The sequence below is a fragment of the Homo sapiens genome, chromosome 3, assembly GCF_000001405.40.
Source record: "Homo sapiens chromosome 3, GRCh38.p14 Primary Assembly".
NCBI classification, from domain to species: domain Eukaryota; kingdom Metazoa; phylum Chordata; class Mammalia; order Primates; family Hominidae; genus Homo; species Homo sapiens.
The window spans coordinates 32,347,344-32,370,903 of NC_000003.12; the positions used below are offsets into that span (position 1 = coordinate 32,347,344).

The window sequence follows — 23,560 nt, forward strand, 5'->3', positions numbered from 1 at the left end:
TAGAAACAACTCGCCTGCAGCTGGCTGGCTGGACCAGCACACGCTGACGGGGCTGGACTATTTACAGGCCTATTGTGGGCTGTACTTTGGCCACCCCCCGGCACAGCACTCAACTGTGACAATAAAATAAGTTAGGTCCAGCCGGGCAGGGCTTGGAGGGGGCAGGGACGGGGGCTTTACACACAAGTGCTGGGGGGCTTGGGGCCTCAGTACTCTCAAGGGCCGGGCTTTGTAGCTAATTTTGTCTCACATTTTTTCCAATTGCCTCTCAGTGAAGTTTCCCACAAGGCCAATCACGTCACATAATCAGAGTTCCCATTTTTATCTTGGATGTATTTCTCCTGGGGCCCTCCCTTCACTGTCATCTGTGGAATTCCTTTTGCCTTTCTGTTGGGTTGAATTCCTTGTTTTCTTATCTTCCTTATTGTCCTCTTTCTTGCTTTCCTCCCACATTGTGATGGAGAAGTTCCCTAACAGCTTCAATCGATAAAAAGAAAGTAAAATGACATCAGGCATGGTGATGAGAGCCTTTAACGTGGTTTGGCTGTCTTTCGAGTCACTCTGTTCCAGTCTGGTTACCTTCTATGTCTGAGGCATCTGTCATGCTTGGATTTCCCTTCATCCTGGGGATGACCTTCACCTCTCTCTGTAGTTCTCTTGTTGGTTTATTCCATGTTGCCTTTTTTAAAGTTTATGCTCTCCTTTTGGTGAGTCATGTCCTTCAGTAGATTCCTAAGAAAGGGTGCATGGAAGGTAAATTTTTCAGATATTACATATCTGAAAAAAATATATTCTCCACTTGCCCTTCATTGATAATTTTTGCCAAGTAATTTCTAGATCAAAAATAATTTTCTTTCAGTAATTTGAAATCATTGGTCATTGTCTTCTAACATTCTATTTACTTTTAGAAAAGATTAAAAACCATTCTTGTTTCTGCCTCTTTTATTAGGCAACCTGTTTGTTCTCTGGTGGTTTAAAGAACCTTCTCTTTGTACCTGATGATCTGAAACTTCATGATGTACCTTGATTTGGGTCTATTTCATCCACTGTGCTGGGTACTTAGAGGAGTCCTTTTATGTAGAAATTCACATCCAGAAATTCTGAGTTTTCTTGAGTTATCTGATTTGAGTTTTCTTGAGTAGCTGATTTCTTTCCCTCCATTTTCTTCACTCTCTCTTCCTGGAACTTTTTTTTTTTTTGGAGACAAGATCTGACTCTGATCTCAGCTCACTACAGCCTTGACCTCCTAGGCTCAAGCAATCCTCCTACCTCAGCCTCCCAAGTAGCTAGGACTACAGGCACGTGCCATCACACCCAGCTAATTTTTGTATTTTTTTGGTAGAGATGGGGTTTTGCCATGTTACCCAGGCTGGTTTTGAACTCCTGGGCTCAAGCAGTCCATCCACCTCGGCCTCCCAAAGTGCTGTGATTACAGACATGAGCCACCTCTTCTGGCCCCTGGAACCTACTAATCAGATGTTTGACCTTCTGAACCCATCCTCTAACTTTTTTACTTTATCTCACCTGTTTTTTTCTTTTCGTTGTTTTTATCTTTTCTAGGTTTTCTCGATTTTATCATGCAGCATTTCTATTGATTTTTAATTTCTACTATTCCATTTTTAATTTAAAAAACTATTTTTGTTTTGAAGGACTATTTTTATGTCCTTCTTGCAACCTCCTGTTTCTTTATCACTTTTGTAATATCTTTTCTCTCTAAGATACTGATGATTTTGGGGTGGGAAATGTTTTCTTCTACCCCTTCAAAGTTACTTTCTTCCAGTTTGTTTTTTGGTTTTTGCTCTCTGCCCTGTTATATAGGCTTTGCTTTCTTCATAGATCCAATAATCTTGGTTATCTGCCTATGCTTTAAGAGTGCAAAGCTCTCTGGATGCTCTGAGCATGTGGATGGGGCTTATGAACCTTGAACTTCATTGAAGATTGACCTGGCTGGGCTGTGTGTTGGGGAATCCCCAAAGTCAGTATCTTTGTCTTTTTTCTTATGCTAATGAAGACCTGGCTGCCAGTATTCTTAGAACCAAGCAGAGGGAAAGGTTAGGGATTGGACAGATGAGGAAGTCTTCATACTGAATACTTAGTCATTTAAGGCCTTTGTTTCCACTATAATGTTCAGACCTTCAACTGTGCGCCTCAATCCAGAGACTGTTTCGTTTTACCTTATTTACAGTGTTTCTCAATCAGAAGTAATTTTGCCTCCCAGAGAACAATTGGCAATATCCAGAGACATTTTTGATTGCCATTAAGAGTGGGGAGGTGGAGCACAGCTGCTGGCATCAAGTACGTAGAGGACAGGGAAGCTGCTATACACATCCTACAGTGTACAGTGCACAGGGCAGCACTCCAGATCAATAATTTTATTGGCCAGGCCAGGCCCGGTGGCTCACACCTGTAATCCCAGCACTTTAGGAGGCCAAGGCAGGCAGATCACTGGAGGTCAGGAGTTCGAGACCAGCCTGGCCAACATGGTGAAACCCCATCTCTACTAAAAATACAAAAATTAGCTGGGTGTGGTGGCGCACGCTTGTAATCCCAGCTACTCAGGAGGCTGAGGCAGGAGAATCACTTGAACCTGGGAGACGGAGGTTGCAGTGAGCCAAGATCGCAGCACTGTACTCTAGCCTGAGTGACAGAGCAAGACTTTGTCTCAAAAAAAAAAGAATCTTATTGGCACAAAATGTCAATATGCCTGAGGTTGAGGAATCCTAATCTAGAGAATAAACTTTCACACTAATGACAGAAGTGGGGCAATCACCCAGCAGCTTGCAGTAGAGCAAAGGGTAAGGACTTAGCGACTTTCAAACAGCTTCCCACCAATCCTCCTTATTTTAGCCGCTCCTCTCCCACCCCCAACCTTTGCTTCCTGTCCTAGAGCTACCTGAGTCTTTTTAGACTTTGCAGTGAAGTTGGTTTGTTTCTTGACTTACCTGTTAACCACCTTAGAACTCAGCTTTCTTAGGGTCATTAAGTCAGTTATCCATTGTTCATATGTGTTCTAAGCTTTTTTTTTTTTTTTTGAGACAGAGTGTTGCTCTGTCACCCAGGCTGGAGTGCAACGGCATGATCTCAGCTCACTGCAACCTCCGCCTGCCAGGTTCAAGCAATTCTTCTGCCTCAGCCTCCCGAGTAGCTGGGATTACAGGTGCGTGCCACCAGGCCCAGCTAATTTTTTTTTTTTTTGAGACGGAGTCTCGCTCTGTCACCCAGGCTGGAGTGCAGTGGTGTGATCTTGGCTCACTACAATCTCTGCCTCCCAGGTTCAAGTGATTCTTCTGCCTCAGCCTCCCGAGTAGCTGGGACTAGATAGAGGCACATGCCACCATGCCCAGGTAATTTTTGTATTTTTAGTAGAGACGGGGTTTCACCATATTGGCCAGGCTGGTCTCGAACTCCTGACCTCGTGATCCAGCCGCCTCAGCCTCCCAAAGTGTTGGGAATACAGGCGTGAGCCACCACGTCAAGCCTAATTTTTGTATTTTTAGTAGAGGCGGGGTTTCACCATGTTAGCCAGGCTGGTCTCGAACTCCTGACCTCAAGTGATCCACCCGCCTCAGCCTCCCAAAGTGCTGGAATTACAGGTGTGAGCCACCGCACCTGGCTCTGTTCTAAGCTTCTAAAAATGTTACTGTTGTCTCTTTTCCTATTCAAACCATCCTCTTGAAAATTTTAGAAGGGTTTTTGGAGGGAGCAAAATTAGGTGTTCAGTCTGATATACTTTCCAATAATGCTAAAATACATGAAATACATGTTGAAGCTACAGTCATTGGCACTGACACAGCAGATGAACATGGGTGAATGGAATTGAATAAAGATTCCGGAAACTGCCACAATATATTGGAAGACACTGAAGACACTGATAAGTGATATTGGGTCAATTGTCTATCTGCTAGAAAAAAATAAAATTTGCCTTTCTTTACCCCATATATAGAACTCAATGCTAGTGGATTAAAGATGTAAGCATATATACAAAACTACAAAAATACAGGAGAATGTTTTTATAATCTTCTGTTGAGAATGACCTTGCTAAGAAGGTAAAAATAAAAGAGTTAAAGAAAACCAATTATGTCGGCCAGGCATGGTGGTTCACACCTATAATCCCAGCACTTTGGGAGACCATGGCAGGAGGATCACTTGAGCCCAGGAGTTCGAGACCAGCCTGGGCAACATAGCGAGACCTCATCTCTACAAAGAAATGAAAATCAAAAAGTTAGCCAGATGTGGTGTATTCCTGTAATCCCAGCTACTCAGGAGGCTGAGATAGAAAGATCTCTTGAGCCCAGGAGGTAGAGGCTGCAGTGACTCTTGATCACACCACTGCACTCCAGCCTGGGCAACAGAGTGAGACCCTGTCTCAAAAAAAAAAAATATGTAAAAACTTAAAACTTCCATAGACAAAAGACTCTATGACTTTGAAAAATAAAACTGGGTGGGGAAAATATTTGCCACATATATAGTTGGTTACCATCTCTCTTATGTAAAGATCTCTACAAATCAGAAAGTGACTTTTAAAAATCTATCAGGCCAGGCACAGTGGCTGGCCAGGTGCAGTGGCTCACACCTGTAATCCTAGTACTTTGGGAGGATGAGGCGAGCAGATCACTTGAGGTCAGGAATTCGAGACCAGCCCGGCCCACATGGTGAAACCCCGTTTATACTAAAAATACAAAAAATTAGCCAAGCATGGTGGTGCATTCCTGTAATTACAGCTACTCGGGAGGCTGCAGCATGAGAATCGCTTGAACCCGGGAGGCGGAGGTTGCAGTGAGCCAAGATCACACCACTGCACTCCAGCCTGGGTGATGGAGTGAGACTGTCTGAAAAAAAACACACACACACACACACTCACAAAAAAAAAAAAAAGAAAAAAAACTATCAAGAAATAAGAGGAGAACTCTAAGTGGTTGATAAGCATTATAAGCATTCAAAAAAATGCTCTACTGTCCTCGACACTGATGAAGAAAAATGCAAATTAAAGTAGAAACAAGATGCTATTCATCAGTGGTTCTTCATGTGTAGTCCCTGAGCCAGCAGCATCAGCATCACCTGAGAACTTGTTAGAAGTGCAGATTCTCAGGTCCATCCTAGACCTGAATCACAGGCAAGCGGTAGGCCTAGCCATTTGGTTCAACAAGCCCTCCAGGTGATTCTGATGGTCAAATTTGAGAAATCAGAGGAAAGAAGGAACTACCTTCGGTATTGCAGATGACTCTCACAGTATTGAGCAACAGATGTCAGACATAAGACTGAATACTACAGGGTCCATTTATATGAAGATCAAAAGCAGAAACTAATCTAGGATGATAGAGATCAGGGCAATTGTCACCCTTAGAGGAGAGGAGTAACTAGAAATGGGGATAAGGTTTTCAGGTGCTGGCAGTGTTGTGTTTCTTGATTTGGATGCTGGTTACACAGGTTTGTTCAGTTAGTGAAACTTCCCCAAGCTGTTCACTTAGGATTTGTGTACTTTTCTTTATACTGTATTTCAATACAGCAGTGAAAGTTAAAACATAGGTTCTGTTTTTTTTTTTTTTAATCAGGTTTTTAGCCATTTAAAACATAGAAATTTAGTCTGGTGAAGGTGCAAAAGCATGCATATACTGATAACAGAGTAAACTAAGGTTTTTTGTTTGTTTGTGTTTTTGAGACAGAGTCTCGCTCTGCACCCAGGCTCTGCGCCTGTGCTGGAGTATAGTGGTGCAATCTCAGCTCACTGCAACCTCCACTTTCCCAGTTCAAGCTATTCTCCTGCCTCAGCCTCCCTAGTAGCTGGGATTACAGGCATGCACCACCATGCCCAGCTAATTTTTGTATTCTTAGTGGAGATGGGGTTTTACCATGTTAGCCAGGCTTGTCTCAAGCTCCTGGCCTCAAGTGATCCGCCTGCCTCAGCCGCCCAAAATGCTGGGATTATAGGCGTGAGCAGCTGTGCCTGGTCAGTAAATTAGTACAAGCTTTTGCTGAACAATTTGGTAGTACCTCTAAAGCTTAAAATGTGTATTCTAGAAATTTTCCTCCTAGAAGTCTGTCCTGGAATTCAGGTATACAAAGGCATAGGTTATAAAAATGTTTCTGAGCATTTTTGTACAAACATAAAGAAGACAACCTAAATTTCTATCAATAGGGGATTGGTTACATGAATTATGGAAGACTGAGCAACTGTTAAAATTGGCAGAGATGCATGTGTAGTAGTGTGGAAGGTTGTCCTCCATGGTATTACTGACTGAAAGAAGCAAGTTATAGACTCTGTGAACAGAGTGATCCATATTTATAAGGAAGAAAGAGAAAGATGTGCAGGCGGTGGTTATAAATGCAAGGAAAGAGGCCAGAAAGGGTAAATACAAAATTGTTTATGTTGGTTTTTCTTGCATTTTTATAACTGGCGGATAGGGAAGGGCGTTGTCATTTCTTAATATACTTCTGTGTTAATTTTTTTTTTTTTTTTTTGAGACGGAGTCTCCCTCTGTCACCCAGGTTGGAGTGCAGTGGCACGATCTCGGCTCACTGCAGCCTCTGCCTCCTGGGTTCAAGCGATTCTCCTGCCTCAGCCTCCCGAGTAGCTGGGACTACAGGCAGGTACCACGACGCCCAGCTAATTTTTGTATTTTTAGTAGAGACGGGGTTTCACCATGTTGGCCAGGATGGTCTTGATCTCTTGACCTCATGATCCGCCCACCTCAGCCTCCCAAAGTGCTGGGATTTACAGGTGTGAGCCACCATGCCCGGCTCACTGTGTTAATTTTTTACCTGCATTTATCACTGAAATGTTTTATAAGTCTTAGTTTTGCCATTAAAAAAAAAAGTCTTAGCCTAAAAAAAAAATGCTTATCAGGGAAAACAAACAGTATTTTTGTAGTCTAAGCAAATACAGATTCAGGTTTATCTTAAACACAAAGCAAAAGATGAGTAACATTTTTGAAGACTGGTTTTTATCAGTAGTGGTTATAGTGGAGACAAAAGGTTTGCTTCTTGATATATTTCAGTTACCTAGGAAATTCACTTGGGTAGAACAATTCTTTTCTTGACAGAGACATTCTTTTTACTTTGTTTGCTTGTGAGGTCATGGGTCAAGTATTCCCGTTCTTTGAAAGACGGCTCAGTTAACAATATTGTGCCTTTGTGTAAAAGACGACCACAGCCAGCAAACTAGACAATGCAGACCTGGACAGCAGGCTTCACTCGCGTTAATAATGAAAAACGTTTTTGCATTCAGAGCCAAGAACTGTGAGTTGAGCCTGTTTAGCTGGATACAGACTTGTGATGGAAACTCTTAAGCCCTTGTGATCACACAGAGAGACACTATCAACACATCTACAGTGCCTCTTCACTCACTGTTATGTTTCCTATGTGAATCATCCACAAAGGGCCGTTCTGACCCTATCTCAGTCAAGAAGCCTGAAATGTTTCAGACGCTGCCATGCTGCATTACATCTATTACCAGTCTTACTGATCCAACAGAATGTCAAATACATGTGTATAGATTACCTGTCAGAGTCAATTCGGGCCAAAAACCTCATTAGTGTGAGGCTTAGCACTTTCTGGAATTATATCCCATTTTGTGTATCTTCACTTTCAGTAAGTGTTGTTGCCACGGATGTAAACACAAAAGCACATCTCCATTAAGCATCTTGTCTCTGGAATTCATATACTAACATCAAGCAGATAAAAGAATGTTGATGCTCAACTCTAAAGAGCAGAAACAGCAACATTTAGAGTCTTAGCTGCTCCCTGGCACAGGCACCAAAACTGTACCAGGAAAGTGGCTTCTCTCGGGAAGCAGTTTAACATGTCCCTTGGAAACCTGTCTGATGGCTTCAAGATCTTCACAGGAAGTCTTCTTAAAGAAGGGCCTGAAGTCTCTCTTCAACATCTACTTCTTCTAATCCCTATTTGAAGGTCCCCAACTACCTCAGACTGAGTAGGTTGAAAATTCAACTCATGAACAACACTCCTTTAGCCTGTTCCTCTTCCATTGTTCCAACAGAACAAGTCCAACCCTGATCTACTCCAGAAATCTTTCTAGATACCTGGAGATCATTCCATTGTATCCGCTCCCTTCTCCTCCCCCAACCCCATGTCTAATCCATTAAAGTACCATCTGCTGAAATTTGTCTTGAATTTACTCACTTCTCGATATTCACTGCCACCATATTGGTCTTGAAGACTTCATATTCTTCCACTTGGATTATTGCACGCTCTCTAAATTTGTCTCCACACCACTGCTCCCCCTTTCCCCTCCACATGTCCATTCTCTACCTGCAGCCAGAGTGGCTTTATAAAAAAATCTAGCCTAATCTTAACATTCTCTTGCTTAAAACTCTCCCACTGCCCTTCGGATAAAGCACAAAATCCCTAGGCCTCCTGGGCTCATATCATCTGACCTTCCCCAGCTCTCTAACACTTTGCACCAATATCCTAACTTACTACACATTCTTACAGGTTCTAGAAGGTAGCAGAGCCCTTCCCACCTTCAGACCTTTGCCCACGCTGTGTCCTCTGCCTATAATGTTGCCTTCCTGCTTCTGTCTCGCTAGTGCTTTCAGCCTTCTGGTTATTCTTCAGCCTGGACTTCTCCGATGCTTCCTGTGCCTGCCAGCAAGGTCATTTCCCCCATCATAGACCCTTATCATACCGTTTACCTTCTTCATAACATTTGCCACAGTTGTAATCGGTCAGGTATTTCCCTCCACTAGACTTTAGTGCTCTACAAGCAGGATATGTACAATTTGTATACCACTGTCCTTGGGGCCTGATAGCAGGAAGCCCAGATATTGTAGGTGCTCCCGTGTTAAACAAATAAAGGAAATCTGTCTTCCGAGCCTCTTGATTAGAGTTACTTTAGTATTTTGATTCATATACCACAAAGAAAGCTAAACCAGAAATGAAATTCTTTGTCCTGAGTCACACAGCGAGCCAGGACTTGCAGGGCTAGAGCCCACCCTGGACTCCTGTTGCTGTGTCCTGGGCATGTGGTTCACATCTCAACTTTTTTGTGACTTAGGAATAAAGTCCACCTGGAAGGTGCTAGAATGTGAGTGCATACCTTGCTCTAGCCTTCCTTTGTCCAGGACTCAAGACACCTACAGTTTAGGTCAGTTTCCTTTTGCTTGATGAAGTCTTCCTTTAGTCAATGAGTAGTGTTACTTTGGCTTTGGGTATGGTCTTACTTGTCAGCAGTTGGATGACTATTGCTAGGGTAAATGCACAACGTGTGGTAAAATACTGAGTGTCCACATCTGGACTGGGCCGCTGTTCATTCTCTCTTCTGAAAGCTGTCTCAGACCACATGTTACTGGCCATCTGTGAGAAGAGCAGGGAATGCCCAGAGGTTCGTCCCTTGAAAGCAGATCAGCTCCAGGGACCACCTCCAAGTACACCTGCAGTCTCATTTCCTTGACAAATACCAGCCTGGGAGCAAATTCCAGCCATGGATGTTGTTTCTCACCAAGTGGTGTTTTAAAACCCCTGATTAGTACTAATATTTAAAATCAAGATTATTATGTACAAGCTTGAGTTTCTGTGTTCTCCTGGGATGGAGAAGACCTGGCAAAACCAGCCCACAACTATCAGCTAGAGCTGAATTTTAAGAGAACCCCCTAAAACAAGATATTGTTGGTCCCTGCCTGGACTGCCATGGTTACCTTCCTGGCATTTGTAGGCACATGAGTTTGCAAACCCTGTAATATTTTTAAGTCATGGCAGGGGAAGGTGGGGTATATGCATGAAAGTTGTAATTGACTTAGCCAGGCATGGTGCTGCACGCCTGTAATCCTAGCTACTTGGGAGGCTAAGGAAGGAGAATCCCTTGAACCCGGGAGGTGGAGGTTGCAGTGAGCCAAGATTGCTCCATGGCACTCTAGCCTGGGCGACGGGAGCGAGACTCCATCTCAAATAAATAAATAAATAAGTTGTAATTGACATTCTGTATAATTATTTTTTTTTCTTTGTCCCTCCTTCCTTCTTTTTCTTTATCTTCTACTGTCCCCTCCTCTCTCCACTGCTTCTACCACTTTACAGGTTCTGGGGCTGCTGGTATGGACGCTTATTGCTGGAACTGAGTACTTCCGGGTCCCCGCATTTGGCTGGGTCATGTTTGTAGCTGTATTTTACTGGGTCCTCACCGTCTTCTTCCTCATTATCTACATAACAATGACCTACACCAGGATTCCCCAGGTGCCCTGGACAACAGTGGTAAGGAAGCTGTGGGTGGTGGTCTTGTCCAGTGCCCACTCGGTAGATGGCATTAGTCCTCTACTAGTCAATCCAAGACTGTCTCTCTGCCCAGAAAAGGTGGGGCCATACCATGGAGAACTCAACACAGCAGATAATCTCAGCATCATCTAATTGCCTTTCAAGTGGCTTACACCTGGGTGTGAAACTGGGCACATTAGAAGGTCCAGAAATTCCTTTCAGGCAGAATTGCAAACCAATTCTCAGAAGACTGAATCAAGAAAAGCCAGGTTCTCTCCATTAGATTCTCATTTTATTATTTCCCTGTGAACAATGTCAACTGGAAATAAATATGCCAGGGCGCCAACCTCTGCAGATCGTGCTTCCTATAAACCTCTCCTGGGGCTGTGGCCTTAACCCTTTGTACATCACAGCTCTTATGATGTTGGAGCACATTGTGTATGGAGTTAGAATGCAAATGAAAATTGCTATTAGAAAACATAGGTGTTCTTATATATTTGAAAAGGAGAATTGTCAGGAATGACTGGATTCTCATCCTGGCTCTGGCACCATGCTGGATGCAGGATGGTGAACATGTGGTCCAGGGTAAATAGATAAGAAAATGAGTAGATACGAGACCCTGTGGCATACACTGCAGTGAAGCTGTGTAGAAAGTGTGATGGAGGCTGCCACCTCAGCTTAGGATGGCTGGGAACTCTTCAGAGAGGAAGTGACATTTAGCTTCATCCTGGAGATCGAACACACACATCCTAAGTGGATTCACAGAGATGGAAAGTGGGTTCCCCTTGCCTTAAGAGCATTGACAATCTGGTTGGCAAATTCAAAGTAGCTAAATGATTTACAAAAAAAATCCCAGTGGTACCACATGTGTTTATGTATAAAACAGAGCTCTCCAGTGATACTATTTTTTTGTCTGTTTTCAACCAATATGTGAGAAAAAATATTTAGTTCCAAATAACTGACTTATGAACCAAATTTGAAATATAGTCTATTTGTGGTTATAGACTAAGTTAAGTTGGCACACTTTCAGACAACACTATCATTGTTCAAAACGCACCTGGCTTTGTTCTTTCTGTGTTGCTAAGCTAAGTCCCCCAGGAAAACAAGTCTTACTTTATTTCACAAGGCAGATTGACTGACTCTTGACCATTTCCCCAAATCCAAAAGTAAGGACTCTTTATTAAGATTTTCAAGAAAGCGTTGCAAGTTTGAAAAGTAATTCCAAATAAGGTGCTTAATCACTGTCTAGGGTGGTGGAAACAGCCTTGTTAGAATTGGTGTTTTGCTGCCTCAGATGGGCATCAGGAGGGAAAGACTCGCTTAGATGCTAGATTCAAAAAAAGTTAGCACCTTGAAGTAATAGTAACTATAGGAACACAGGATGAGGGAATAATCAAAGTAGGTTGGAATTTAAGGAATGCCATTTTGGACAAAGTTGTGTCCTAGGGTGGGTCTTGAAGAAAGTGACTGTGAACTTGGAAGAAGAGGAACTTGGACAGTGTAGTAGGGGAGCAAATTGTTGGGATGGAGGAATGGACAGTACCCTTATTTCCCCTTTTGCATGAGTCTCAATTTCTAGTTATGTTATCTAGATCAGCAATTGGCATGCTGTCTCTGTAAAGGACCAGATAGTAAGTACTGTAGTCGTCTTGGGCCACACGCCTACGGCCCAGCCACTCAACTCTGCCTGCAGCATTGAGAGAAGCCATAGGCAATTTGTAAATGAATGAGCATGGCTGTGTTCCAGTAAAACTTTATTTACAAAAACTGGTGGTGGCCGGGCATGGTGGCTCACACCTGTAATCTTAGCATTTTGGGTAGACACCAGAGGTCAGGGGTTTGAGACCAGCCTGGCCAACATGGCGAAATCCCGTCTCTACTATAAATACAAAAATTAGCCTGGCGTAGTGGCACATGCCTGTAATCCCAGCTACTCGGGAGGCTGAGGCAGGAGAATCGCTCGAACCCAGGAGACGGAGGTTGTAATAAGCTGAGATCACGCCACTGCACTCCAGCTTGGGCGACAGAGTGAGACTCTGTCTCAAAACAAAACAAAACAAAACTAGTGATGGGCCAGATTTGACCCACAGGCCATAGTTTACAGACCTCTTGTGTTGATCATATGTAGTCTTTCTCTTCTCCAAGCCTAAAACTCCTTCACTGATTTATTACATTAAAAATTTTAAAATATTGCCTTTAATTGGACTTTTAAAAAGAATATTAACAATGCCTTCTTCCGGCACCCCTGGTTTTAAAATGCTTTGATTTGCATTATCAGAATTTATTATCGTAAGGTGTGTCCCCATTTTATAGATAAGGAAACTGAGGTTTGGAGTCTTGTGACTTTGCACAGATTTACACACAGCAGGGGTCCACATCTCTCGAATTCCATCAGCATTTGTTTTCTGATCTCATCCTGCTCCAGGCCCCCTCTGCCTGAGCGGTAGGTAGGAACTACAACCAGACACCAGGAAACCAGGACTCCTAATCCCTTTAGAAGGGTTTAATCATTTATCCCCCTTAAGCAAGGCTGTCAGCCTCCAGGTCAGGGGTTGCACACTCACATATGTGAGGCACCAGTCAGGTTGTACAAGTGAGTAAACTCAGCATGGTATTGAACCTTGCCACCCAGACACACTTTCTTAGCATCTTAAACAACTTGAGAATATTCTTCACTTCACAAATAAATAAGCTGGAAATGTGCTGCCAGGATTGCTAAATTTTCTATTTGTTTTCTAAGGCAATCTAGAAATCTGGGCTTTGGTGTGAACTCTCCCAATTTTAAAATGCTTACAGCCATATTCTTAGAATTCGTTTGCTGCTGGCAGAAGCTACAGGTCAAACATGTCTGACTTCTGGTTGGGGTTTATGTTTACTGTTACAACTAAATACACCTTTGTAACTTCTCAAAGCATTTGTGAGTTGGGTACATGGTGTTAACCAAATATCCAGAGCGGAGACTGGAAAAAGTTTCCGTCTGTTAACAACTAAAGGCTCTGACTAAACTTCCATATTTTCCACTGCCCAGCAGAATCTCTTACAGAACAGCCTGTGGGGGATTCAGATGCCAGCCCAACTGTCGTGTCCCAGCACAAATCAGGAGCATAGCAAGTGTCAGGCTGGGACTTTGTGCTGAGGCAGCTGACAGGCTCCTGCTGCCGAGTTGGACTGCCTAAACTCTTGCTGCTCAAAGTGTGGTCCCTGGACCAGCAGCATCACTGGGAGATTATTAGGAATACAGAATGTTAGGCCCTACTCTAATTCTGATTTGTACTGACTGAATCAGAAATTCTGTAGAGGGCTTCAGAATCTCCATTATGACAAGATTTCCAGATAATTCTTAGGCATCTAAAATGTGGGAAACACTGGTTTAAAAATAGTTATAGATCCATAATCTCTGAGTCAAAACCTTTGGGTCAGATGTGAATTAAGAGTTTGTTTTGTTTCGTTTTGAGATGGAGTTTCACTCTTGTTGCCCAGGCTGGAGTGCAATGGCGCGATCTCAGCTCACTGCAACTTCCACCTCCCGGGTTCAAGCGATTCTCCTGCCTCAGCCTCCCGCGTAGCTGGGATTAAAGGCATGCGCCACCACGCCCAGCTAATTTTATATTTTTAGTAGAGACAGGGTTTCTCCATGTTGGTCAGGCTGGTCTCAAACTCCCCAACTCAGGTGATCCACCCGCCTCGGTCTCCCAAAGTACTGGGATTACAGGTGTGAGCCACGGCGCCCAGCCTAAGAGTTTTTTTTTCTTTCAAATTTTGGAAAGGTAATAAGGTAATTTGGTGCATTTACAACAATATGTGACATGTACCCCTGAGTCTGGGGCTGTACTGTAATGAGACAAATTAATGTTTCTGCAACAACACGTGGATTTTCCTGCTAAGAGGGATAATGAAGACCACATTGCTACCATGTCAGCTCAGGTCAGCTTTTACTACCAAATGACTTTTGAATTTAGTCTTGCTTTTCAGAGCATTTAGGGAATCTAAGATTGTAGAGAAGGGATTGGTAGACTTGGTTTTAGTCCCCTGGGAACTTGTCTGGGAGACCACTGCAGAAACCAGAGTTTTATAATCTTGCGTGTAGTGCCTTCATTGATAAGGCATGAACTTTGCATTGGAATCTTATCTTAACAATAGCTCATCCCCTTAATGTGTCTGGGGAGGTAGAAAGTGACCTATATCCATTTTTAATATGCAGCAGAAACCACAGCTGGTTCCTACTAGCACCTCTGAGCTCCTGGGCTACAACTGTTATGATACCATTTATTCAGGGAGACTTGGATAGGTTTTCCAACAAATCTGATTTAAGCTAAAAGTTCAAAGCAATAAAATTTGCCTTCTTCATAGCACCAAGCACTAGGGTCTACATGCATGTGTTTCCTGAGGATTCGTCCTCTGTAGCTCATCCCTGCTGACCTCACTGCAAGCCTTGTGAGCTCCAGAGAGCAGAGATGTTTGTCTCCTTTTACCGGTTAAAGCAGCTACTATTTTCTTTTCTTTTTTTTTTTGGAGATGGAGTCTTACTTTATTGCCCAGGCTGGAGTATAGTGGTGCAATCTCGGCTCACTACACCCTCCGCCTCCCGGGTTCAAACAATTCTCCTGCTTCAGCCTCCTGAGTATCTGGGATTACAGGCGCTCACCACCACGCCCAGCTAATTTTTGTATTTTTTTAGTAGAGACGGGGTTTCACCGTGTTAGCCAGGCTGGTCTTGAACTCCTGACCTCAGGTAATCTGCCCGTCTTCGTCTCCCAAAGTGCTGGGATTACAGGCGAGAGCCACCGCACCTGGCCGGCAGTTACTATTTCTTAAGTACATACTATGTGCTAGATGTCACACTGGGTCCTTTATATTTTACATCATTTCATTTAATCCTTACAGTAACTCTGCAAAGATAGAATGCATTATTTCCATTTTGCAGATGAAGAAACTGGGGCACTGAGAGGATGCTTGAGAGCCAGGAATGGGAGGCAGGTCTTCTAATACCAACCACAGTTGTGAACCTTGGAGTCTGTTTGGCTCCCAGTATACACAGATATTCCAGTTTCTCTTGCCCTTGGAAGTAGCCATTTCCACTGTGCCATCCTGAGCAGGAAGTGCCAGCCCAGATGTTGGGTCTTGGCAGTCTTTTCAGCATAGCAGTTCTAAAGAGTCCCATTTGTTATTGTAAATCTTCCAAAAGACCCTTCTTCTAATGATGGTGCCAGAACTGAGCACATGACTTATTGGCAGGGGCTGAGAGTCAGAAAATGGGACCTTCCTGTTGCTCTGTCTCCAGCCAGCCTGCCTGAACCTACAGGCCTAAGTCCCTGCTGTCACCTGGTGGGATCATGTTATAACCAGGATCCACTGAGTCTTCCTGTCTCCTCTTAACCAGTCAATCCAAATGCCTTAGCCTGACGGGCACAGTCAATTTCTAAATGACTGCCTCTGGCCTCTAGCTGATACAATCATTAAACAGGAATAAGAAAAGTAAGTTACTGTGTATACTTTATAGTTTACACAACTCTTTAACAATATGGTCTCCTTTGAGATGGGTGAGACTTGTATAGTTTTTCCCATTTTGTAAATTGAGTACAATCAGTTTGATGGTAGGTTTAATCCCTATAAGAGAGGTCCAAAACAACATTGGTTTAAAACTTATTTCTCTCTCCTGTGATAGTCCAGAAGTAAGTCACCTGTTCTATAAGATCACCTGTGCCCCAGGTTCCTCCTTTCTTGTGACTCTGCCATCTTTAACAGTTGGCCTGTGGTCCAAGGTGGCAGCTTCAGCACCTGCCATCACATCTAGATTCCTAGTCAGGGGGAGAGAAGGTAAAAAGTGGGCAGTGGAGGGTACTTCTTCCCTTTAAGGCACAGTGTTGACATTGTATATGTTACATCTGCTCACATTCTGTTAGCCTAAACGTGGTCACCTGACCACATCTCCTTCCAAAGGAGGCTGGAAGGTGGAATCTTTAGGTGGCCATGTGCTCAGCTGGAAACTCCGTTACCATATAATAAGAGAGAAACATAGCAGGAGACAGCCAGCAGCTCTGCCACAGACGAAGCAGCTGAAGAGGTTATTTCCCCAAAGCCACATAGCTGTGAGCGCTGCATTGGCCCATCTCCTGTATCCTGCAGCCCTTCTTCTAGTTGCTTATCATATCTTCCTTCTTTCTTTTTTGGTTGTGGATTCAAAATACAGCTTTTTAGATGAAACCTACATGGAGATTCCCAACAGACCTGATTCAGTGTGTCTGGGGTAGGGCCTGGGAACATGCTTTTCTGACAGATTTCCAGATAGTGCTGATACCACTCCTGCACTTTGAGTAGCACTGAGCTCCTTTACTAGCTGGTTGTAGACAAGGTGGGGAGGGAAAAGGGGATTCTTAGCCAGCATCAGCCTGTACCTTTTCCTCAGCCTTTGCCCAGACCCAATCTCTTCTGTCAAGCATGAGTGTCTCTTCCACCAATGTGTGGTAATAGGGACTAGAGAGCCAGAAAGGCAAGCCGCAGGTGAAGCGGACATCCCTACCACCCTTAAGAAATGGACTCTGGGCCAGGTGCAGTGGCTCATGCCTTGTAATCCCAGCACTTTAGGAGTTCAAGGCAGGAGGATCACTTGAGCCCAGGAGTTCAAGACCAGCCTGGGCAACATAGCAAGACCTGTCTCTACTAAAAATAAAAATTAGGCCGGGTGCGGTGGCTCACGCCTGTAATCCCAGCACTTTGGGAGGCTGAGGCGGGTGGATCATGAAGTCAGGAGATCGAGACCATCTTGGCTAACCCAGTGAAACCCCATCTCTACTAAAAATACAAAAAATTAGCCAGGCGTGGTAGCATGCGCCTGTAGTCCCAGCTACTCAGGAGGCTGAGGCACGAGAATCGCTTGAACCTGAGAGGCAGAGGTTGCAGTGAGCCAAAATCACGCTACTGCAGTCAGCCTGGGTGACAGAGTAAGATTCTGTCTCAAAAGAAAAAAAAAGACAGAAAAGAAATGGACTCTGATGGAAAAGATGTGTACAAGGCTGATTATACTAAGCAGAGGGATATTTAAATAAATGCTAAGAAGAGAGGCAGGTGAAGCTCCAGGGGAGCCATCCTTCCCAAATGTTCACTTAAATTTTCAGCGGTTTGGGTATGCCAGATGGTGAACCTAGGTAGCTATGTCTTTAAACTCTTGAGGACTCTTGAGGATATCAGATGCCTGAAAATCTTGCCTTCTTAGCTGTCTGAATAGATGTAACACTAGGGACAGGAGCTGCTCATTATCCCCCACTATCCATTTTCTTCTGTAGTAATAGAAGTTTCAGTTGAGCCTTGGCCCCTCTGCCACTGGGTGGGCCCTGGGACTGAGTTCCAGCTGAGGGGATGTTCGCAGCAGTGATGTGTGAAGCACCATGGCCCTAAAGTGGGGCTGCTTTTTTTTCTTCTCCCCCTCCTCCCCTTCCTAGCAGCTGGGATTCTGCTGTGGTAGTGGGACACCTCCTGGGCCATGTGGAGAATGGTGAGACCCTGGAGATGGCCAAGTATTGTGGATGGAGCCTGTGTCCCTGTCACCCCGAGGCTGCCAGACCAGCTCTGGCTGCCTAAGCCTTAGATAGGAGTAAACTCTCTTTCCTAAGCCACCGTCTTGGGTCATGTCACCACAGCCAAATTTACTAACTGTATATTATCTCAGGGCTTCTTTCCATTATCTTGAGATCTGAGATTTATCTTAATATGTCCACAAGTACTATGCATAGCTGGGTAAAAATAAGCCGGTATTTGAGAAAAAAAAAAAGAGAGAAAGAGAACATTTTTATACCAAGGAGGGATTGACTTTCAGAAAAGAGTAGACTTCTCTCTCCTCCCTTCCTCCAAAAAAAGAAGTTGGAAACCTTCTGTTTTTGTGTGTGTGTTTTTGGTTGTTCTTTGTTTGTTTTTGTTTTTGAGATGGAGTCTCACTCTGTCACCCAGGCTGGAGTGCAGTGGCGTGATCTCGGCTCACTGCAACCTCCCTCTCCCAGGTTCAAGTGATTCTCAAGCCTCAGCCTCCTGAGTAGCTGGGATTACAGGGCCCATCGCCACATTTGCCTAATTTTTGTATTTTTAGTAGAGATGGGATTTCACCATGTTGGCCAGGCTGGTCTCGAACTCCTGACATCTCAGGTGATCTACTCGCCTCGGCCTCCCAGAGTGTTGGGATTACAGGTGTGAGCCACTGCACCCAGCGGAATTTTTAAATTACTATATTGTCCTTGTAGCTCTCTTTCACTGTGGCCCAGGGAACTGGCATTTCAGTTGGAGGAGCTATAAGATTTTTCAACTTGAATAGTCTCTGATCCAGGGCCTATTTCTCTATAGCAACAAGACCTCATGTTTCTATGAAACTCAGTAACATTCTAGAACCCTCTGAAGCTTCACATATCCCTCCTTCATTTCTGTAGCCCAGATTTCTTTTTTTAACCTTTATGACGATCCTGGTTTCTTTGCTCTTCTCTTTTCTTTCATCTCTCCACTTATTTTCACTACATTTCCTCCAACCCAGGCATTCCCCGGACATGTTTACTTTTGGGAGTGTTAAACAAGACTAGGGAAGTCACAAAGTTAGGCATTGTGAGATAGTGCCTGAGAGAGGCTTGTAATAAACTGGCAGAGCCCCCAGTGTGGGGGGCGCACAGAGGGAGAATGCCCCTGCCTTCTACTCACGTCTCTACCAACCCTCTTCCCCTTCCCCATTTCTTTCCAAGGGAAATAGCAGTTTCTTGTTTCTTTAGAGTTCAGAAAAAATGGGCCATACTTACTGAGAGATGGGATCATTGCATGTTCACAGGTCGTAGACTCAGAGAGTCTTTCTTTCCCCATCTCCTCTCTGGCCCCCTCGTCCACATGGGCTCGTGCACAAGGCCCAGGACGTCAGGGCAGTTCTGGCCAGGCTGAGCTTTCCCTGAATTCTCTTTCATTCATTCTCATTCATTCTTTCCTTGTATAAAGAACTAGACATGCATGAGAGCCCTGAAACCCATCCTCAAAGATGTTCGTTGCAGTAGCATTTGTAATCCTTGAAAAATTAGCAACATTGAAATGCCCATCAATAGGGGAAAAGTTAAATTATGAAGTATTAGTGGCAAGACAAGACTAAATGGCTTGGCAAGTATTAAATTTGCGTGACTCTATATTCTAAGAGGTGATATGGGGAAATAATACCAGTAAGAGCTTTTGTGTTAATGCACAGATGTGTTTCTAGACCAAAAAGTAAACAAAAGAACACAACCGACATTCCTAATGAGTCATTTAGTGAGACCAGGGCTTCTTAGGGGACAGTTTCGGCAGCCTGACCCTGGGTCTGACTGTGATGAAGCCCTTGTCTTAAAGGTTAAGTGCCCTGACCTGAAGACAGTGTGAGCACAGGTGGAGGTGGCGACAGGAACATACAACCTCTGCCACAAGGCCAGGGCCTGCAGTGGGAAAATTCTATGTAGCTTTTTTTTCTCTGAGAAGAAAGAGATTGCTTCCTCCCTTTCCCCTACCCCTTCCTCTGTCTCCAAGTTACTGAGGGAAAGATGTTAGACCACAGAGGGCCCACTCCTGAGAGGCATCCCCCTTCCTCCCCAGTTGGTTTCTGCTCTGGTTTCACCTCACCCCTGCCTCTCCCCTGTGTTCAGGCAGGACCCAGCTTTGCATGGTTTCCTATGCATGGTTCAGAGCATGGTTTCTTAGAGTTTAGACATAACTGAAAACCAAATACCTACCGGGACTTACATATCTTCTCTAAAAATAGGAACAAATAAGGTAAAGCCAAGGGTAACATTAGTTCCCAAAGGGCTGTAACCGCCTTTTTAAGAACTTGCAGCTAGGACAGAGGAGCTCATTTAAATATCCCTCCCTGTTTGGAATGGGGGGTTAGGGAATCAGCTGGGCCTGTTTTGGGGGACACTGTATTGCGCCTCTACGTCAGGGACACATGCAAGGGCTACAGCTGCGGCTGAGGGCCAGGGGCTGAGGCTGAGCCCACCGAGTGGGCGCCACTGCTGCCTGCCATCCTCAGACAGCATCAGCTTGGCTGACATCTGGATGAGATGAGGCTCAGGAGCAAACCGAAGAAGCAAAATGACTGAAGGGGCGGCATGCAGTCTCAGTGTCTCGTGGGGGCAGGGGTTGGCATCTGGTATGAGCTGCCGTAAAACCCTCTCCTCTCGCACTTAGAGCTGCCTTCCCACAGCCTTCTCCCCCACCCTCCCACAGGTGTCCACTTGGGCCCCTCCCCACACCAGAGGTACAGCCCTCATCACTTCTGAAGTCCAGAGGTATGCAGACCCTCCCCTCTCCCTAAACACTCTGCCCCTGTGTCCCCCCAGGGCCTGTGCTTTAACGGCAGTGCCTTCGTCTTGTACCTCTCTGCCGCTGTTGTAGATGCATCTTCCGTCTCCCCTGAGAGGGACAGTCACAACTTCAACAGCTGGGCGGCCTCATCGGTGAGTAGCCCTCCATCCCCACATGATCCTCCTCTTCCCTCTCCAAGGCTTGCTTGGGATTGGGGAAGACAGAGTCATCTGCAGGAAAAAGCAGCGCTTGCAGTAGTGACAAATTAGCAATTGGCTTATTGATTTGAAAATATCTAAAACTGGCAGGGGGCAGAGGGCCCTCCTGGCCCGAAGTGGGAAAAGGCTGGGAGACTGCTTGAGTGAATGCCGAATGACTGGAACAAGATAAGTATTCAAGGGAGAAAAGCTGTTTAAAGCATGCTAAGAATAATTCTACTGCCTATAATTTAGTAAGTGGGGGAAGGTTGCAGAAAATGAACAGAATATAATTCCATTTAGTTTTTTTTAAGTGAAAATATTTGTTTATGCATTGAGAATGCCTAGAAAAATATATACCAGTAGAGGTTCCTTCTAGAGACTGGGATCGGGAAATGAGGGGAGTGAGACAAGAAACTTCTATTTTTTTTTTTTTTTTTTTTTAGAGAAGGGGTCTTGCTCCATCACCCAGGCTGGAGTGCAGTGGCATAATTATAGCTCACTGCAACCTGGAACTCCTCAGCTTGAGCCATCCTCCTACCTCAGCCTCCTGAATAGCTGGGACTAGAATCCTGCACCACCATGCCCAGCTAATGTTTTAACTTTTTTGTAGAGACTAAGTCTCACTATGTTGCACAGGCTGGTCTGGATTTCCTGGGCTCAAGTGAGCTTCCTGCCTTGGCCTCCCAAAGTGCTGGAATTACAGGCATGAGCCACTGCGCCTGACCTTACTTTTTAATTTATATACTTCTGTTTGCATTTTTAAACCATAAGTGTGTATTATTTTTCTAATTAAAAAAAACTGGTATTAAGAATCTCTCTGAGATTGGCCTTAAAATAGCCCATCTCCAAAAGAAGCCTATCGGGGGAAGGAGGGAGGCAGTTAGACAGAAATGCCAAAATGATTATGTCAAAGCTGATTGATGGTACATGGGGGTTCATCATATTCTTTACTTTTATTTCTGTTTGAAGATCTCTATTTAAAAGTAGATTGGTCGGGCACAGTGGCACATGCCTGTAATCCCAGCACTCTGGGAGGCCTAGGTGGGTGGATCACCTGAGGTCAGGAGTTCAAGGCCAGCCTGACCAACATGGTGAAACCCCATCTCTACTAAAAATACAAAAAAAAAATGAGCCGGGGGTGGTGGCGGGCACCTGTAATCCCAGCTACTTGGGATGCTGAGGCAGGAGAATTGCTTGAACCCAGGAGGCAGAGGTTGCAGTGAGCCAAGATCACGCCATTGCACTCCAGCTTGGGCAACAAGAGCGAAACTCCGTCTCGAAAAAACAAAATAAAAGTAGAGCATATGGATGCCGGTGACATTAAAAATCACAAGCTTCGTCAAGACTGGGCTCAAGTTAACACGTAGCAAGAATGGACTAGAACTAGGTGGAGGCTGCCCCATTAATTAAGAAGGGCCTGCATTTTCCTCCTCCCTGTTCACACCTCACATACCATGTGGGCTCATTGCTTACTCTGGCCCACTCGACTCATTTATGTGAACTGACACTGTAGCAATCCGAGATTGTACCCCGGACCTAGATTGCCTGTGCTACATTAGAAATGATACACTTTCCTCAGATGCACTGCCGCCGTATTCACTCCTAAGTGAACTCCCTGAGGTTATTTGAGCAAAACTACAGGCTTTCAGATGTTCTCCGAAATAAAAACAGCATAACCAGAAATCATTTGAGAAGGATAGTAATTGAACCAATAAAGTAGTTTTAGATGGCAAAGCCTGGTATCAAGAAAAGGTAGTGAGTGGGTGATTCAATGGAGGTGAAATGATAACTTTTGCTAATTAGGATGTGCCCTAAACCCCACTTCTATTATGCTTTGTTTTCTCCAGTTCTTTGCCTTCCTGGTCACCATCTGCTACGCTGGAAATACATATTTCAGTTTTATAGCATGGAGATCCAGGACCATACAGTGATTTACCATTTTGATAATTAAAAGGAAAAAAAAAGGAAGACTCTCACTGTAAAAACAGCTGTAGGTATAATGTATATTCCCAGAGAATTGTATTTAACTAATTAATGTTTTTTATATTCTTAAATTTGCTCACAAATTGTGGTTTGTTACAATTAAACTGGATACTTATTTGCAAAGTGTTGTAGCTTATAATGAACTCTTAAGTATCTTATTAATGTATTAATGTCTTCATAGATCATATTTTCTTAGACAATGTTTAAATAGATAAATTGCTAATATTGAGAATGTGTCAAGTTTGTAAACCTAACTTTTAAGATGCCAGATTCTTTTTTGATTAAATGTTGCAAAATCCCAAGTAATGTTGTGTTTGATTGGAGAAAGGAGACCTACCTGTTGAAGCCAGAGGCTAGGCTGTCAAGGCTGGTGGGAGGCTGGGAAGTCTCCCTCTTCACAGGGCTGCATCGTATGATATTGTCAGGTGACACTTATCCATAGTCTTAGGGCAAAGAGGCGGGAGATTCATCTCCCCAATTCTGGGGATCATAGATCAGTGTTCATGATTTTCATATGCTAACAGGTTGCCCCAGAAAGCATCTATTCAGACCTGGCCTTGGACATCAGTGATAAGCTCATGGGAAGTTATGCTACTAAGTGCAGTGACTGACGTGCTTGTGATATTTTTTCTAATATGCATTATAAAAAAATATATAACTATTAAAAGGATAAATATCTGAATATATTGAATATATCTTAAAATTATCTTGCTGGCTGGGCGCCGTGGCTCATGCCTTGTAATCCCAGCACTTTGGGAGGCCGAGGCAGGTGGATCACGAGGTCAGGAGATCGAGACCAGCCTGGCCAACATGGTGAAACCCCGTCTCTACTACAAATACAAAAATTAGCTGGGCGTGGTGGCGGGTGCCTGTAATCCCAGCTA

At 44.2% G+C, this 23,560-nt stretch overlaps 1 protein-coding gene across 5 annotated transcripts in view, besides 1 other annotated feature; it reads left to right on the forward strand.

Moving 5' to 3' along the window:
* The window catches only part of CMTM8 (CKLF like MARVEL transmembrane domain containing 8), a 132,130-nt gene extending 109,152 nt beyond the window's left edge, over nucleotides 1-22,978 (forward strand). For 4 of the 5 annotated variants that reach the window (XM_011533416.4, NM_178868.5, XM_017005779.2 and 1 more), the window contains 3 exons: nucleotides 10,030-10,203; nucleotides 20,529-20,645; nucleotides 22,541-22,978. In XM_011533416.4, the coding sequence (XP_011531718.1) occupies nucleotides 10,030-10,203; nucleotides 20,529-20,645; nucleotides 22,541-22,624 (375 nt within the window). In that variant the 3' untranslated portion in view covers nucleotides 22,625-22,978. The remainder of the gene's footprint in view (nucleotides 1-10,029; nucleotides 10,204-20,528; nucleotides 20,646-22,540) is intronic. The other variant, NM_001320308.2, reaches the window with a different exon arrangement.
* Nucleotides 11,554-12,233: an enhancer, noted in NCBI's record as "H3K27ac hESC enhancer chr3:32400389-32401068 (GRCh37/hg19 assembly coordinates)". NCBI's record gives its function as "activates a minimal SCP1, AML or CMV promoter by ChIP-STARR-seq in naive H9 embryonic stem cells {active_cell/tissue: H9 hESC(naive)}" and the evidence as "EXISTENCE:reporter gene assay evidence [ECO:0000049][PMID:30033119]".
* Nucleotides 22,979-23,560: the final 582 nt, after the last annotated feature.